Raw genomic sequence first — 15,244 nt, 5'->3', positions numbered from 1 at the left:
AATTTATATGGTTTTCTCCTCTTAATCTTATGTCAGTTTAATTATCAGGCCAGCCATAAAAACTCTTAAGAGGACAGAGGTAAAATTTTGCCTCCCCTACAAGGATATTTGAGTTTGTCAGACTCTTTAGTTTCTGAAATTGACGGTAAATTTAGTTCTGAAATAGTAAACATACACGCAGTATAACATTTTAAAAAAATGTTATGCTAATCAGTCTGTTTTCTAACAGGATAACTGACTATCAAGATAAACTTAGTTCAAATAGAGTAACTCTGAGTTCTCACATTCTTTCACATTACAAAACAAATCTGGCAGCAAACTTTGTCAGAGGCGTTTAAACCAGAGAAACTCCATCTTGAATAGGGGCTGGGTAAAATAAGGCTGAGGCCTACTGGGCTGCATTCCCAGAGGCTTAAGGCATTTGTAGTCACAGAATAGGTCAGCACAAAGTACAGGTCACAAAGACCTTGCTAATAAAAGCATGCGGTAAAGAAGCCAGCCAAAACCTACCAAAATCAAGATGGTGAGGAAATTGACCTCTGGTTATCCTCACTGCTCATTATACACTACTTATAATGCATTAGCATGCTAAAAGACACTCCTACCAGTGCCATGACCATTTACAGATGCCATGGCAACGTCGGAAAGTTACCCTATAGGGTCTAAAAGGGGGAGGAACTCTCAGTTGGGGAATTGCCCACCCCGTTCCCAGAAAACTCATGAAGAATCCACCCCTTGTTTAGCATGTAGTCAAGAAATAACTATAAATATCCTTAGAATAGAACAAAAGAACAATTTTCTTTACTTCTCTAATAAACTTGCTTTCACTGTACTCTATGGATTTGCCTTGAATTCTTTCTTGAGAAAGACCCAAGAACTCTCTCTTGGGGTCTGGATTGGGACCCCTTTCCAGTAACAGTTACACTTGCAAAGTACATCCTGTGTCCAACCACTGTATATTTAATTGTGAAATTTATTAAATATTAATTTAAATAAGTTGAAAGACCTTTAAAGACAGGGCAATTCAAAAATGAGTAAAATTATTGGGTTACACAGTATAAAAATCCATCAAAAAGCCAAATATTTTACTATTTGGGGGGCCTCTCAAGTACCTATTTTTGCTAGATATTGTCAGCACTTGTTTCTGTTCCAAAACATCGTATTTATACTAGGATTGGAAGTAGTTATATTTTAAGAACAAGAAACAGACACAGTAAAAGGTTATGAGATGTCAGTAGACTAAGTGCTAAAGAAATTCCAGATAGGAAGAGGAGGTATCTAGAGAAAAGGAGCTGAAAAGAAATGGGGTAGGTTGACCAAATTTTAGAGCAAGAGTTTTTAACCTGAGGTCCGTACTTATATGTCACAATGCCCCTAAGGAAAAAATTCAGCAATTGGAGGGTGTTGAAGGGGAAGTCTGTGAGTTTGGGTAGTAAAATATCTATTTTTAAAAACTTAACCTTGACTGAACTTGAACATTTCACTTTATTATGAATTTAGGCCACAAATCTCAGTACCTGTTACTTTGTAACCCAAAAGACATTAGATGTTTCATTTCTCATTACAATTGCTGAGTTATCGTGAAACATTTTTACTCCTCTAATTAGTAACAGCAATTAGGCTCACCAAATCATGTAATGTGTTAACTATATTAACAATATAACTATATAGTCTCATTTATCACTATGAAGTTTTAAAAATACTTTGATAACTGTAATTTAACTTTGTTTGGCATTTTATATACTTAAAACATCATTCTGAGATTTTCCATGTTACCAGACAGCCAAAAGTGTCTACAATACACAAGAAAAATGAGTTAACGTCTTCTTAAGATTACTTCAGAGTGGGCCGGGCGTGGTGGCTTACGCCGGTAATCCCAGCACTTTGGGAGGCCGAGGCCGGTGGATCACGAGGTCAGGACATCAAGACCATCCTGGCTAACACGGTGAAACCCCGTATCTACTAAAAATACAAAAAAGTAGCTGGGCATGGTGGCAGACGCCTGTAGCCCCAGCTACTCAGGAGGCTGAGGCAGGAGAATGGCGTGAACCCGGGAGGCGGAGCTTGCAGTGAGCCGAGATAGCGCCACTGCACTCCAGCCTGGGCGACAGAGCGAGACTCCGTCTCAAAAAAAAAAAAAAAATTACATCAGAGTTCAGTGAACAGAGGGAGGAGGCACAATTGTGCAATCTTGGCATGAGTATTCCTTATTTAGCTACAACACCAAAAGTTATTTGCACTACCGTAGTAAATAACCCTCCTTTACAGAAAACTGCCAGTCTTGCTAGGAGGCCTCAGTTTGTGTCAGGAACGCCCAATACCCTGTACTTTTCTAATAGTCATAAACATTTCTAATATTTCTAATGTACATTTCTAATACTCATCAACATTTGTTGAACCATATTATAATCCTCTATATATTTTCCCTCCTATCTGTGAGGCAGACATTTTAACAGTCTGTGTGCTAACACTTTACCTCAGATTTCTTCATGGGTTTTAAGGTTTATTATTAACTATCCTGTCAAGTTCTTCTAGGTAAGCAACTTGGGATATTAGGCCTTTCCAAATGAGCCATCTTTCTTGGGCTCCAGATAACGTCATCCCAGTATTTTACTCACTTCATTTTAAAGGAATACTTTGCAACATGCAGTAGGGTGGGTAAGAGAATGCTTCACAGCTATCCATCAGGAAAGATGTGAGTCTCTGACAGAGCCTTTGCAGGGAGGTGGACTATTGTGTCACAAAGTTCTTCAGCCTCGCTCTCGTGCAGCGGCGTCACCGCCGAGCTCTCGCAGGAGCGGCAGCTTGCTGATCAGCAGCTCGGAGTTCTGGTAGCGCCGAACGTCGCGCAGGGCCACTGTGCCGGGCACGTAGCGGCGGGACTTCTTCATGCCGCCCTGGCCCGCGTGGAACAGCTGTCTGCTAAATTCTAGCCCGGGCGATAACTCTTTTGGGCCAAAGTGCTTCAAGAACTCACGAAGCCACTGGTGCTCTGTGGACACACACTGATTAAGTTTAAAATTAAGTAATGGCCTAAGAGATTTGTTCACATCTTAACTTTTAAGCGTGGTAAAATCTGGACCACCTTCCCTCTAGTTTTTCTTTTAAATCTGCGGTGTTCGCTACACTGTTTTCAAAAAGATGGGTAATTTATGACTAGAGTCTTGTCCATGTCTCACTTTCTTTCACATGGAATAAATGTTAAGTTCTTTTAGAGAAGACGTGGGTGGCCCTGAAAAGAGCCGTTGGTTTGGACTCGATTTTACTTGAGCTGCCACAAACTAGTACAGATAGTTACTTGCCCTTCGCCTTGTGGTGGCTCTCAGTCTTTTTGGGCAGTAGCACGGCCTGAATGTTGGGCAGGACACCGCCCTGTGCGATGGTGACTTTGCCCAGCAGCTTGTTGAGCTCCTCGTCGTTGCGGATGGCCAGTTGGAGATGACGCGGGATGATGCGGGTCTTCTTGTTGTCGCGGGCCGCGTTGCCCGCCAGTTCCAGGATCTCGGCGGTCAGGTACTCCAGCACCGCTGCCAGATACACCGGCGCGCCGGCCCCGACCCGCTCGGCATAGTTGCCTTTGCGGAGCAGGCGGTGCACTCGGCCCACGGGGAACTGGAGACCGGCCCTAGAAGAGCGAGTCTTGGCCTTAGCGCGGGCTTTGCCTCCCTGCTTGCCACGTCCAGACATAGCGAGCGCAACTCACTACGAGCAACCACAAAGTGAACGGGAAAGGCGGCGCTTTTTATAAACACTATTGGGCGCGAAAAAGAAGACGTGTTGTTGGTTAGGGCTGCAGTTTAATTTCAACCAATAGTAGTGCGTCTTCTGGATTTGCGAATCCTGATTGGGCAGACCTGACCTCTGACGTTACCCTGAATAACTACCAATCAGACACAAGACTTCAACTCTTCACCTTATTTGCATAAGCGATTCTATATAAAAGCGCCTTGTCATACCCTGCTCACGCTGTTTTTCCTTTTCGTTGGCGCTTTATAGCTACACAGTGCTATGCCAGAGCCAGCGAAGTCTGCTCCCGCCCCGAAAAAGGGCTCCAAGAAGGCGGTGACTAAGGCGCAGAAGAAAGACGGCAAGAAGCGCAAGCGCAGCCGCAAGGAGAGCTATTCCATCTATGTGTACAAGGTTCTGAAGCAGGTCCACCCTGACACCGGCATTTCGTCCAAGGCCATGGGCATCATGAATTCGTTTGTGAACGACATTTTCGAGCGCATCGCAGGTGAGGCTTCCCGCCTGGCGCATTACAACAAGCGCTCGACCATCACCTCCAGGGAGATCCAGACGGCCGTGCGCCTGCTGCTGCCTGGGGAGTTGGCCAAGCACGCCGTGTCCGAGGGTACTAAGGCCGTCACCAAGTACACCAGCGCTAAGTAAACAGTGAGTTGGTTGCAAACTCTCAACCCTAACGGCTCTTTTAAGAGCCACCCATGTTCTCAAAGAAAGAGCTGGTGCTTGTATTCCTCCTCTGCTGGCCACTGACAAACCCTTGTAACTTGCTACTGTGTTTTTTGGTCTGAAGTAGAGCAGTTATTTAACTAATCCTTAGTGACTTTTTTTTTTTAGATCTGCCATTCTAATCTTAGAGTTAAGTAAGGAGATGGGAAATTTTCTATTATAAGTTCGAAACCAATTAAAATACGTTAGAAACCAATTAAAATACTCGTCGGTCCCCCGTCGGTTAGTGATTTGGAACAGTGCCAAGTTGCAGCGGTTGTCAGTTTGAATTTGCCCGGGCAACGCCCGCCCTTCCTCTGCATCCTGATTGGTTGTTGTATCCAGGAAGTCCACGGTCGGCTTGGGTGCGCCAAAGGAATCCAAACCCCGCCTTTATTTGGCCTTCCTTACAAACTCAGTAAACTGTCAGTTTCTCATTCTTTAGTATTTTATCGCTTTCGGGAAGGAGATTTATTTCTAATTAGTTTTCGTTGGATAGAGCGTTTTTTTTTTTAAAGGGACCCTTTATGGCAACATAATCAGTTTTTTTTTTTTTGAGAAGGAGACTTCCTCTGTCGCCCAGACTGGAGTGCGGTGGCGCGATCTCAGCTCACTGCAGCCTCCGCCTCCCGGGTTCCAGCGATTCTCCTGCTTCACCCTTCCGTGTAGCTGGGATTACAGGCATGCGCCACCATGCCCGGATAATTTTTGTATTTTTAGTAGAGATGGGGTTTCACCATGTTGGCTAGGCTGGTCTCGAACTGACTTCAGGTGATCCACTAGCCTCAGCCTTAAAGTGCTAGGATTACAGGCATGAGCCATCAAGCCCGGCTACAACGGAATTTGAATGCTGTAGTTTTCAGCCTGAGAAAGATCAATGCTTTATTTCTGATTAGAATACTATTTTCCCTTTATGGTATATCTATATAAGCAAAGGCATTAGAAGCCTAAACAGGACAATTCGGGGCGTAATGAAGGCAGAAAGCTTGAGGACATTTATCCCAGACTCTTTTCTGAAACAAGTCAATTTCAATTTTAAAACTCCTTTCGTTAGTATTTTAAATACTGTTTTTGACTTTGCCTAGAAGAAGTGAGGAAAAACAAGTTCCCCCTTATTCAGGTTGTCACAAATGAGAACCAGTCACCCAACAAACGATGTTGCTCTAGGTTGTAACTTCAGTCATGTGTCTCTTAGGTAAAAATCCAAGGTCTATAAAGCATTTGGAAGCTCCCACTATGACTAGGTTTTGGTTTCAAAGGTAGTAATTGTATATAAACTTGAGTTACTATCTAGTTTATTTAAAATGGATCTAAATTTAGCACAGTAATAACATCTAAAACAATTAGTATTTTTGTTAAATCCACTATCAAATACACACGTTTCCCTTGTTGACTCAAGTCCTGTTTTTTTCAAAGCCCAGTTAAATATTGCCTGCTTTATGAAATTTCTTCTGTTTTTTTAGCTTTTTCTCGGACACTTGTCCAGCCTTTGAAAACTGTCTGTAGAGTTTCTAAAATATGTATCTCTCTGAATTGCTATCTGGTTTGTTGTATATATTTCTATGTAGAAAATATACACTCAAGTTCTTTTCCTTCACCATAATCATCCCGTACTAAGGATAACTGAACTGTTATCAATTCTGTGAATAAACAGAACTTAAATTACTTTTATGACATTATTGTTATGTTACATGGGCCTCTGACCCTCTCTATTAATCCAAATAGTCAGATGATAATTTCCAAGCTAAATAACTTGCTTCTTTGTCTTACAGGATATAGAAATCAGAATAAAAAGCAGGGTTTGTAAGAAAAGGAGGATTGCGACTGACTCATGGGTATATTGTCCAGCCACAGGTGAAAATTTGTAAAGGCTAGGTTTTCGAAAACTATACAAAGTTAAGTTGAAAAGAACCCAGCTAATTCTCCTGTTACTCAGAAGACTAAACTGCCTAAGGGGTAATGAAACAAATGATCACCTTATGGGTTATTTTCATCTTGCTGGTGTCCCCTTAATAAGGACAAAGAGTTAATACTTTGCTTGAAAAACTGAATGGGACTGGGCGGGGTGGCTCACGCCTGTAATCCCAGAACTTTGGGAGGCCAAGGCTGGTAGATCACTTGAGGTCAGGAGATCGAGAGCAGCCCCTGCCCCTGGGGGATGGTGAAACCCCGTCCCTACTAAAAATACAAAAATTAGCCTGATGTGCTGGTGGGACCCTGTAATCCCAGCTATTCGGGAGGCTGAGGCAGGAGAATCACTTGACCCCAGGAGGCATAGGTTGCAGTGAGCCGAGATCGTGTCAGTGCATTCCAGCCTGGGCAACAGAGGGGACTCCGTCTCAAAAAAAAAAAAAAAAAAAGAAGAAAAACTGAATGCTGCAAGTTCAACCCATTACTAACCAGTTCCTGAAGAATTGGCTTTTTTCCCTTTTTTTTCCTCTGGCTTTTTCCTTCATTTTAAAAAGGGGGATGTAACAGTGCCTCTTGAGCAAATAGTTTTGGTATACTTAGAACAATGTCCTGTACATAGTAAGCATTCAATATATGTTGGCTAATACTACTGATGCCGGTTGTAACAGTAGTATTAGAAACCGTAACTCAAGTATGTCCATAAATGGCAATAGGGAAAAGAATTGCTGCCACTCAGCACAATTTGGAGTATTGAATGTCATTGTTTACTTTTTCTAGAAGGAGAGTGACCTAAGACACTGATCTAAACTGAATGTACATGGCTAATGGTTTGGATAGACAGATTTTTTTAAGTGGGCAAAAGTGGAGGTTGTGTTGACTGGAAGCTTTGGGGAACAGTGATACGGATGAATTTCCCAGAATGGTCCCAGAGTATGAGAATAATATCCCACGTGAATGCTAACCTAAATTCCCACTCTTCAGAGGAGGCTATCAACAATCAGGTACACATCAACCATATGGCTGTCATGTAGTCTCTTTTCCTATCACCCCACTTATTGCCCAAGTGATTTACTTGTAAACTGTGACCAGGGTGGTAGGCAATGATAGAGGTGATACTTGAGTTCTGTAGTATAGACTTAGCTCACCAAGGCTGACCTCTGGATACTGCTGCTGCTAAGTGTCCCATATGTCAGGGGAAGTATTCTTGTATTCTTGCAAGTATTTTGTCATGGATGAGGCAGAGATTTGTCTTCACTGAGATAAACACTCTAGATTTCGATATGCTTCACTTTCTTACATGCTATTGCTAGCAGGACCATCTGTGAACTTACTGAACGCTTTATACCTCATATCTCAACATTTTTTGGACCCATTTCTATACATTATACAGAAAGGGTAAGGTAATGCATGGGTGACCATGAGACTCGGTAGTCCTAATGTGTACCACATTCCTTATAAGCAGAAGTCTGAATTTTTGGAAGACTCAGTTAAAGTGGCATGTAGTCATTTAGCACCCTCTTGAAGTACTGTTCAATTTTGGACGTTATAGATGAGCTGAATAGTGACTAAGAAAAAGCATAATTTCTTCTGTAGACAAAATGCATTCGTTAAAGAAAGGAGAGGTAGGAATGGAGTGGTACCTCTCATATTACACTTAATAATAGCCAACTCAAAAAAGTTATGCTTTTCATGTTTCCAACTCAGGGCTCCCTGCTGTTTTTTTTTGTTTTAGAAAAGGAGGAGTACATACTCCCACCAGTAGTCATGGAGATGCCTCTGTTTATTGATTTACCAAAAATGATTTATTTTTATATGAAGTTTAAAGCAGTTTAAATTACATTCATTTGCTGGCTTAGAGAACTGTGGGAAGTCTTGACTTAATGGGTGTTGGGCTTTTGGACTCCTCCTCTGTTTGTCAGTTTTCTTTTTGTTTCTGTTTCCCCCCCTTCCCCCACTCCTCCCCTCTCTTTTTAGGGGCATAGGCAAGGAGCTGTGACAGACAATTTGAGTGTTTTTAAAAATAGTCTCATAAAAAATATACCTTTGACTGGGTGCAGTGGCTCATGCATGTAATCCCAGCACTTTGGGAGGCTGAGGCAGGCACATCACGTAAGGTCAGGAGTTAGAGATCAGCCTGGCCAACATGGTGAAACCTGGTCTTTACTAAAAATACAAAAATAAGCCAGTCGTGATGGTGCGTGCCTGTAGTCCCAGCTACTTGGGAGCCTGAGGCAGGAAAATCACTTGAACTCGCAAGGCAGAGGTTGCAATGAGCTGAAATCGTGCTACTGCACTCCAGCCTGGGCAACAGAGAGAGACTCTGTCTCAAAAAAAAAAAAAAAAAAAAAAGAAAGAAAACAAAATATTTTTTCCCCAACACTTTTCAAAGAATGGTTTAAAAGCAATGACAATCCATGATCAGTGAGAATTCCCACCCAGATTATGGTCTCAATTCCTTTTTCAAAGGGCAGTCAGGCTACTTGGAGACTTGGGTAAATCTATGGATTTTAATACATTCAAGAGGAACAGCAATCAAATGCCATATTTGGATCTGGTGGGATCTCATTCAGACAAAATATAAAAATATTTGAGACAATTCAGGATTTTCTTTCTTTAAGGGCTAGGTATTGGATAATGTTACACATCATTTTTTAAATTTTCTTAGGTGTAAAATCTTAGCGTTTTTTCTTTATATCCATATCTGTTAGGATATTTGTGAAAATATTCATGATTAAAATCACATATTTGGGATTTCATGTTTCAGATATTTTTTAGACTCCCTCATCTGTCAGTGTGGGTGCGGATAATGAAACAAAATGGGCAAGATGTTGGTAATTGTTGAAGCCTGTGCGACGAGACTTGGGAAGTGCAGGATTCTCTATATTTTTGTGTCTGCTTCAGGATGTCCATGACCACTCCCTTTCCCCTCCAAAAAAAAAGTTAAAAAAAAAAAAGCTGGCCAAATCAGTGAACATATTTCGTTTTTGGTCAACAAAGGGCTACCCTGAGAGGAATCTACATGCAGAGAAGTTCAGGAGACTGAACTAACGGAACGTCAGGAAGCGCTGCGGGCTGGAGAGCTGCTGTTGGAACAGGGAGGAGTTCTCCGGGCCGCACCCTGCCTCCGTCCCGCAGGCGAGTTGAGAAGCGCTATCGCCATCTTGTGGCGATAATGGATGGGATAATGTAGCTAAAACTTTGTTTAGTTTTATGAGTTGAGAAGGGCTGTCGCCATCTTATGGCAATAACGGATAGGCTAATGTAGCCAAAACTTTGTTTCGTTTTATGATTTCGATTAGGCATTTCATTGCTACGGTTTAATAATTGAATATACAAGAAATACTATAAACCATCACATCCCCAACAGCCCCCAGCCGCCCAGTTCCCCCATCTACTTGGCAAAGATTCTCTTTTTGACCAAACTCTAGGCGGCTTCTTCTGAGCCCTCTTCTGGACTAGGTGGCCACCTTGGTCTATAAAGACCTGAACAAACCCGAACATAGTTACTAATAGCCCCGGTCTTCTCAAGTGCCTGCCTGAGAAAACTCAATTGATGCCGCCAAAGGAATTTACTGTTTGTTTCAGTCAACGTCTGAAGATAGGGCCCTCGTCTCCCAGGCTCTGGTAGGAGTGGAGCCTGATTTTGATATGTGCCAGTTATGAAACCCAGATGGTTCCCCACTGTCAGTGGTTACTAAATAAAATCTGTTTTCGTCATTTAAAGTAAGGCCTGGTGTTTTATCTTTGATATACTACAATTAACCACTTTTATTCGTTTCCTGTGTACCTGTCTGGAATATCTTTATACAAACACAAATAAACAAATGTGTCCCCTTTCATTCACATTTGCCCCCTTTCATTCAAATGACTGATGGTCACATGTTCTTCACAGGTTCTGTCTCTTGCTTTTCTCATTAACTGTCTTTCTTATTGCAGGTGGAGTGGCTGAAACTTCTCAGCAGGCGCATCTACACTAGTGACCTGAGGAGAGAAACCCTAACCCCACAATGGCTGCATCTTCTCTGAAGACGAGACTGATGCTCATCTTTGAAATGAAGGGCAGTGTGTGCATTTCTCCATGAAGGTATCCAGAAACAGCCATGCCAGAGCTGCTGTGGGGTGGCTGAACTGCTATTCCTTTTCTAGGGTGGGATCCCCACTCTTTGTAAGGAAGGATATTGGGGTCCTGACACTGGGAACTCATCTTGTCAGTGAGGCCTTCTTTAACTGCTGTCTTGTAATTGAGCCACCCCATCTGTGTTTCCTGTTCCAATTTAGGACTTTTTTTTTTTTATCATAATATAAAGATCTGAAATGCTATGTTTTCCTTATTCATTGGCTTATTATCTTTACTATCCCATCCTCCACACTAAAAGTTTTTTCGAGCTGGATTTGGGAGTTGTGGGGTAGGTTATATTTTGATCACTTGTATTTCCCAGCTTCTAGAACAGTGCCCAGCAAAGTACTTCTCTGAATAAATGAATAAAGTAATATTCCTCTGCTCTGCTGTTGCCAACTGGAATATCCTGAGGGAAATTTCTTTACTTTCCTCAGGGGATGATCCAGAAGATGAAAAACAAATTGTCATTCCATATAGTCCTCTTCTGAGTGTTTTTCAGTTTTGTTAAAACTCAGATTTTTTCTTTTTACCTGAATGTTTTTTTGTTAATGATTATTAGCATATACAGTATTTTCTTTTATGTACCAAAAAAAGGCAATTGATACAGTGCATGACTTGAAAATATACCTGCCTTCTCTGAGGCTCAAATTCAGGACTGTATTATTTGGAAAGCCTTGTTGGGTTGTGGCTCCCAAGAAATCATACCTAATTTCCCTTCTTTGAGAGCACTGATTTCTGAGTTTCCATTTCTCCTAGAAGAGAAACATTGGCTTGTAAGAATTTATGTATCATCAATGCTTCCTTTTCCATCCTGCACTTAGAAGGACCCAAGACTTGAGGGCTGCGCTGTCAACACTATTCCTTGCTCACCCTCTCTTTTGTTCTAATTATTTATGTCTTCCCGCCTTCAGAAATATCAGTTGCTCTTTCACCAGCCATTGTTTCCTCTCTGGCCCTAGTGCAGAGTAGGTGACGTAGTACAGCTGAAAGGATGAATGCTGGCAAACTTGTTTCTAGCCTAGATTTCTCCTTATTTTAAATCTGCACTTGCAACCACATGGCCTGAGACACTCCTCTTGAAAATATCACCAAAAGGACCTTATTATAAAAAGTCACCGCCATCTATTCAGGGCTATGTATTAGGGGACAATAAAGTGTAAGTCATGGCCAGGCACGGTGGCTAATGCCTCTAATCCCAGCACTTTGGGAGGCCGAGGTGGGTGGATCACGAGGTCAGGAGATTGAGGCCATCCTGGCTAACACGGTGAAACCCCATCTCTACTAAAAATACAAAAAATTAGCCGGGCGTGGTGGCGGGAGCCTGTAGTCCCAGCTACTTGGGAGGCTGAGGCAGAAGAATGACGTGAACCCAGGAAGCGGAGCTTGCACTGAGCCGAGATCACACCACTGCACTCCAGCCTGGGAGACATAGGAAGACTTTGTCTCAGAAAAAAAAAATTGAGTCATTTACATTGTTTTATTTTATCCAACTTAATATTTTTCACAAACAGTTATCATTATCCTCATTTTAGAGATGAAGCTGAGACTCAGAGTAGAAAACTTCCTTAAGTCACAAGATTGATAAGTGGCAAAGCCAGTACTAGAAAGCAGAATAGTTTTGATTCTGAAATGTGCTCCTTCTCACGTATCAGCTCCTGTTCCCTCCACATTCCTTGTCCGCATGTACCCAATGGTACACTTGACACATATTTACAAATTTGTGCATTCCCACCCATTAGATATACATCTCCACCTCCAATGACTTACCAACTCTTGTAGATTATTCCCACACATTTGCTTTCTTTTCATTCATTCCTTCATGCATTCGTGGCACATAGCATTATGGAGGAAATCCTGTGTCACATGTATTCACTGCTGACTTCAGAGGCTGAAGGAACATGGCCTAGCATCTGGGGCCCTTCCTTGTTTGAAAAGTTTCTGGTTTCTCCACTTCTAGGCTCGCCATCTTCCAACCTTCCTGACAGATAAGAAATACACTTCAAAGCTTAGTCTGAGAAAGCAACTTCTCTACTCAAAGTTTTTCAAAAGAGCTTGTATCCTTTTAGTCTGGGTTTTAAACCATTACTTGTTTCTATATACATTTTTCCAGATAAGTTTTTAAAAATTATTTCTACCGGGCCAGGCACGGTGGCTCATGCCGGTAATCCCAGCACTTTGGGAGGCCAAGGCAGGCGGATCACGAGGTCAGGAGTTAGAGACCAGCCTGGCCAACACAGTGAAACCCCGTCTCTACTAAAAATACAAAAATTAGCAGGGCGTGGTGGCGGGCACCTGTAATCCCAGCTACTTGGAGGCTGAGGCAGGAGAATCGCTTGAACCTGGGAGGCGGAGGTTGCAGTGAACCAAGATTGTGCCATTGCACTCCAGCCTGGGTGACAGAGCTAGATGTCATCTCAAGAAAAAAAAAATTATTTCTACTTAGAATGTATGTTTCATGCCCAACTAAAGAGGTTCTTCTCTTTTCCTCATACAGAATATCCTATTTCCATGCCTGGAACCCCCTACTCCCTATTCTGTCTTCAGTTTCATCTTCTAATGCCCATTCTTGATCCCTTTGATCTATTGCTTTTTTCTAAACTCTCACAGTTCTTTAAGCCTGTTTTGCATTTTTGCTCTTCCACCATGTGCTTTATGTGGCTTCTTTTCTGAACATTTCCATCTCAAGAATAGTAAGTATCACATTGTAACCTCACACACTGTTGACACGAGTAAACTTCAGTCTGTTGATTTGTTCTGTGAAAACAGTGGAAATAACTGGTTTTCCTGTCTTTTCTTTCCTTCTTTTCTTTTCTTTCTCACTCTGTCACCCAGGCTGGAGTGCAGTGGTGCAATCTTGACTCACCACAACCTCCGCCTCCCTGATTCAAGCAATTCTGCCTCAGCCTCCTGAGAGCTGGGACTATAGGCGAGCACCACCACACTCCACTAATTTTTGTATTTTTAGTAGAGACAGGGTTTCACCATGTTGGCCAGGCTTGGTCTCAAACTCCTGACCTCAAGTGATCCACCTGCCTTGGTGTCCCAAAGTGCTGGAATTACAGGTGTGAGCCACTGCGCCTGGCCAGAGCTGGTTCTTTTTCTTTAGAGCGACTTTTTATAGCTGTCAAGGTAGAAAACAGAGAATTTCTTTATAACTTGCAATTTCTACAGTTGGCAGCCTCCTCTGCTCAGGCCTTGTCAATGTCTGGTTTTCCCACCCTCCCAGAAATGGGGTCTCGATCTATCACCCAGGCTGGAGTGCAGTGGCGTGATCATGGTTCACTGCAGCCTCAAACTCCTGGGCTCAAGTCATCCTCCTACCTCAGCCTTCCAAGTAGCTAGAACTACAGGTGTGTGCTACTACAATGACTAATTTATTTTCTTAGAGACGAGGTCTCGCTATGTTTCCTAGGCTAATCTCAAATTCCTGGCCTGAAGTGGTCCTCCTGCTTGGGCCTCCTGAGTCGCTGGGATTACAATACTGTCTAGTATGAAGGAAGTTTGTCTTGATATGTTTCCTGCTCAAAACAAAATGCAACTTGTCATTTTCAAACTCTAAAATTCTTCTGGTGTGTTTTAAAATGTCTATACTGTAATAGCAAATAAATTAACTTTTATGACAGGGAATTGTTGCTTTGTCATTCAACTTACTTGTCTGGTAAGCAAAATGCCTTGGGTTCAAGTCCTCACAGAATTTTGTTTTTGCATTGTGTAGCCTTCCCTGATACTCATTTCTTTCCATAAAACTGTCACCCCTAGATAAAGCCTCATTTGCTTCATCTTGTAGGTTTCACACCTAACCCATAAGCATTTGGATAGTTGGGAGAAGCTATAATGGTATATCATTTATTTTATAATAGTATGTAAGATTGATAATGGGACAAGTCAATAGCTTCCACATTGTGTTTAGGCTTTCCAGCAAAATTGGATTTAAATATCATATTTAAATATTTATATTTATAAACTTAAAAAATCAATTTTATGTAAAAAAGTTATATTGGAGTTTATCAAACTAATATACATATATATTTTCTTTTTGAGGCAGGGTCTGGCTCTGTTGCTCAGGCTGGAGTGCAATGATGCATTCTTGGCTCACTGAAATCTCTGCCTCCCAGGCTCAAGTGATCCTCCCACCTCAGCCTCCCAAGTACCTGGGACTATACCTGGCCAATTTTTTTTTCTTTTTTTTTTTTTTTTTGGTAAAGACAGGGTTTTTCCATGTTGTTGAGGCTGGTTTCGAACTCAAACTCAGGTGATCTGCCCATCTCAGCCTCCCAAATGCTGGGAATATAGACGTGAGCCACGATGCCAGGCACAAACTCATTTATTTTAATTTACTTTTAAATTAATCATGTTACAAAGTCAATACTTTAAAGTTTATAGATTTGAATTCTAAAACTTCTTTGTTTTATTGAGATTTATACATACATGGTAAAATATTTGGTTAACTCACCATGTTCTGTAAATGATGATGTCATTAGGACTAAAGTGTTCATCTGTACTTTTAAGAATTAAAAGAAGACATTGTTTTAGAAGACAATTTCAGGAAATGTTAATAATTTAAAATGTAATGGCCTTGGTTACTTTTCAGTTGCTTTTAGCTTATCTTTTTCCCTATTATGAATATAAGTTTTATGAATATTTTTGTGTATGTTTTTTGGTGTACATATGTGCCCATTTCTTTTGTTGAGACGGATTCTCAGTTTGTCATCCAGGCTGGAGTGCAGTGGCACAATCTCGGCTTACTGCAACCTCCGCCTCACA

The 15,244-nt window shown here is 41.7% G+C and overlaps 2 protein-coding genes across 2 annotated transcripts, besides 10 other annotated features; one reads left to right on the top strand and one right to left on the bottom strand.

The window, feature by feature from the left end:
- Positions 3,034-3,549: an enhancer, noted in NCBI's record as "NANOG-H3K27ac-H3K4me1 hESC enhancer chr6:27100989-27101504 (GRCh37/hg19 assembly coordinates)". NCBI's record gives its function as "activates a minimal SCP1, AML or CMV promoter by ChIP-STARR-seq in primed H9 embryonic stem cells {active_cell/tissue: H9 hESC(primed)}" and the evidence as "EXISTENCE:reporter gene assay evidence [ECO:0000049][PMID:30033119]".
- Positions 3,034-3,584: a biological region, named in NCBI's record as "NANOG-H3K27ac-H3K4me1 hESC enhancer GRCh37_chr6:27100989-27101504".
- H2AC11 (H2A clustered histone 11) lies at positions 3,224-3,716 on the bottom strand. The gene has a single exon (NM_021064.5). The coding sequence runs from the start codon at positions 3,685-3,687 to the stop codon at positions 3,295-3,297; it is 393 nt and encodes a 130-aa protein (NP_066408.1). The 5' UTR covers positions 3,688-3,716; the 3' UTR covers positions 3,224-3,294.
- Positions 3,245-3,584: an enhancer, noted in NCBI's record as "active region_24266". NCBI's record gives its function as "activates an Ori minimal core promoter by ATAC-STARR-seq in GM12878 lymphoblastoid cells {active_cell/tissue: GM12878}" and the evidence as "EXISTENCE:reporter gene assay evidence [ECO:0000049][PMID:35858748]".
- Positions 3,550-4,063: an enhancer, noted in NCBI's record as "NANOG-H3K27ac-H3K4me1 hESC enhancer chr6:27100475-27100988 (GRCh37/hg19 assembly coordinates)". NCBI's record gives its function as "activates a minimal SCP1, AML or CMV promoter by ChIP-STARR-seq in primed H9 embryonic stem cells {active_cell/tissue: H9 hESC(primed)}" and the evidence as "EXISTENCE:reporter gene assay evidence [ECO:0000049][PMID:30033119]".
- Positions 3,964-4,443, top strand: H2BC11 (H2B clustered histone 11). The gene has a single exon (NM_021058.4). The coding sequence runs from the start codon at positions 4,009-4,011 to the stop codon at positions 4,387-4,389; it is 381 nt and encodes a 126-aa protein (NP_066402.2). The 5' UTR covers positions 3,964-4,008; the 3' UTR covers positions 4,390-4,443.
- Positions 4,195-4,264: an enhancer, noted in NCBI's record as "active region_24265". NCBI's record gives its function as "activates an Ori minimal core promoter by ATAC-STARR-seq in GM12878 lymphoblastoid cells {active_cell/tissue: GM12878}" and the evidence as "EXISTENCE:reporter gene assay evidence [ECO:0000049][PMID:35858748]".
- Positions 4,275-4,344: an enhancer, noted in NCBI's record as "active region_24264". NCBI's record gives its function as "activates an Ori minimal core promoter by ATAC-STARR-seq in GM12878 lymphoblastoid cells {active_cell/tissue: GM12878}" and the evidence as "EXISTENCE:reporter gene assay evidence [ECO:0000049][PMID:35858748]".
- Positions 4,685-4,744: an enhancer, noted in NCBI's record as "active region_24263". NCBI's record gives its function as "activates an Ori minimal core promoter by ATAC-STARR-seq in GM12878 lymphoblastoid cells {active_cell/tissue: GM12878}" and the evidence as "EXISTENCE:reporter gene assay evidence [ECO:0000049][PMID:35858748]".
- Positions 8,201-8,360: an enhancer, noted in NCBI's record as "active region_24262". NCBI's record gives its function as "activates an Ori minimal core promoter by ATAC-STARR-seq in GM12878 lymphoblastoid cells {active_cell/tissue: GM12878}" and the evidence as "EXISTENCE:reporter gene assay evidence [ECO:0000049][PMID:35858748]".
- Positions 9,383-9,452: an enhancer, noted in NCBI's record as "active region_24261". NCBI's record gives its function as "activates an Ori minimal core promoter by ATAC-STARR-seq in GM12878 lymphoblastoid cells {active_cell/tissue: GM12878}" and the evidence as "EXISTENCE:reporter gene assay evidence [ECO:0000049][PMID:35858748]".
- Positions 9,663-9,712: an enhancer, noted in NCBI's record as "active region_24260". NCBI's record gives its function as "activates an Ori minimal core promoter by ATAC-STARR-seq in GM12878 lymphoblastoid cells {active_cell/tissue: GM12878}" and the evidence as "EXISTENCE:reporter gene assay evidence [ECO:0000049][PMID:35858748]".

Source organism: Homo sapiens, chromosome 6, assembly GCF_000001405.40.
Source record: "Homo sapiens chromosome 6, GRCh38.p14 Primary Assembly".
NCBI classification, from domain to species: Eukaryota; Metazoa; Chordata; class Mammalia; order Primates; family Hominidae; genus Homo; species Homo sapiens.
This window is presented reverse-complemented; position numbering and strand designations above follow the sequence as displayed.

Coding starts and splice junctions, on each gene's coding strand:
- H2BC11 (NM_021058.4), top strand. CDS start 4,009: ATGCCAGAGCCAGCGAAGTCTGCTCCCGCCCCGAAAAAGGGCTCCAAG.
- H2AC11 (NM_021064.5), bottom strand. CDS start 3,687: ATGTCTGGACGTGGCAAGCAGGGAGGCAAAGCCCGCGCTAAGGCCAAG.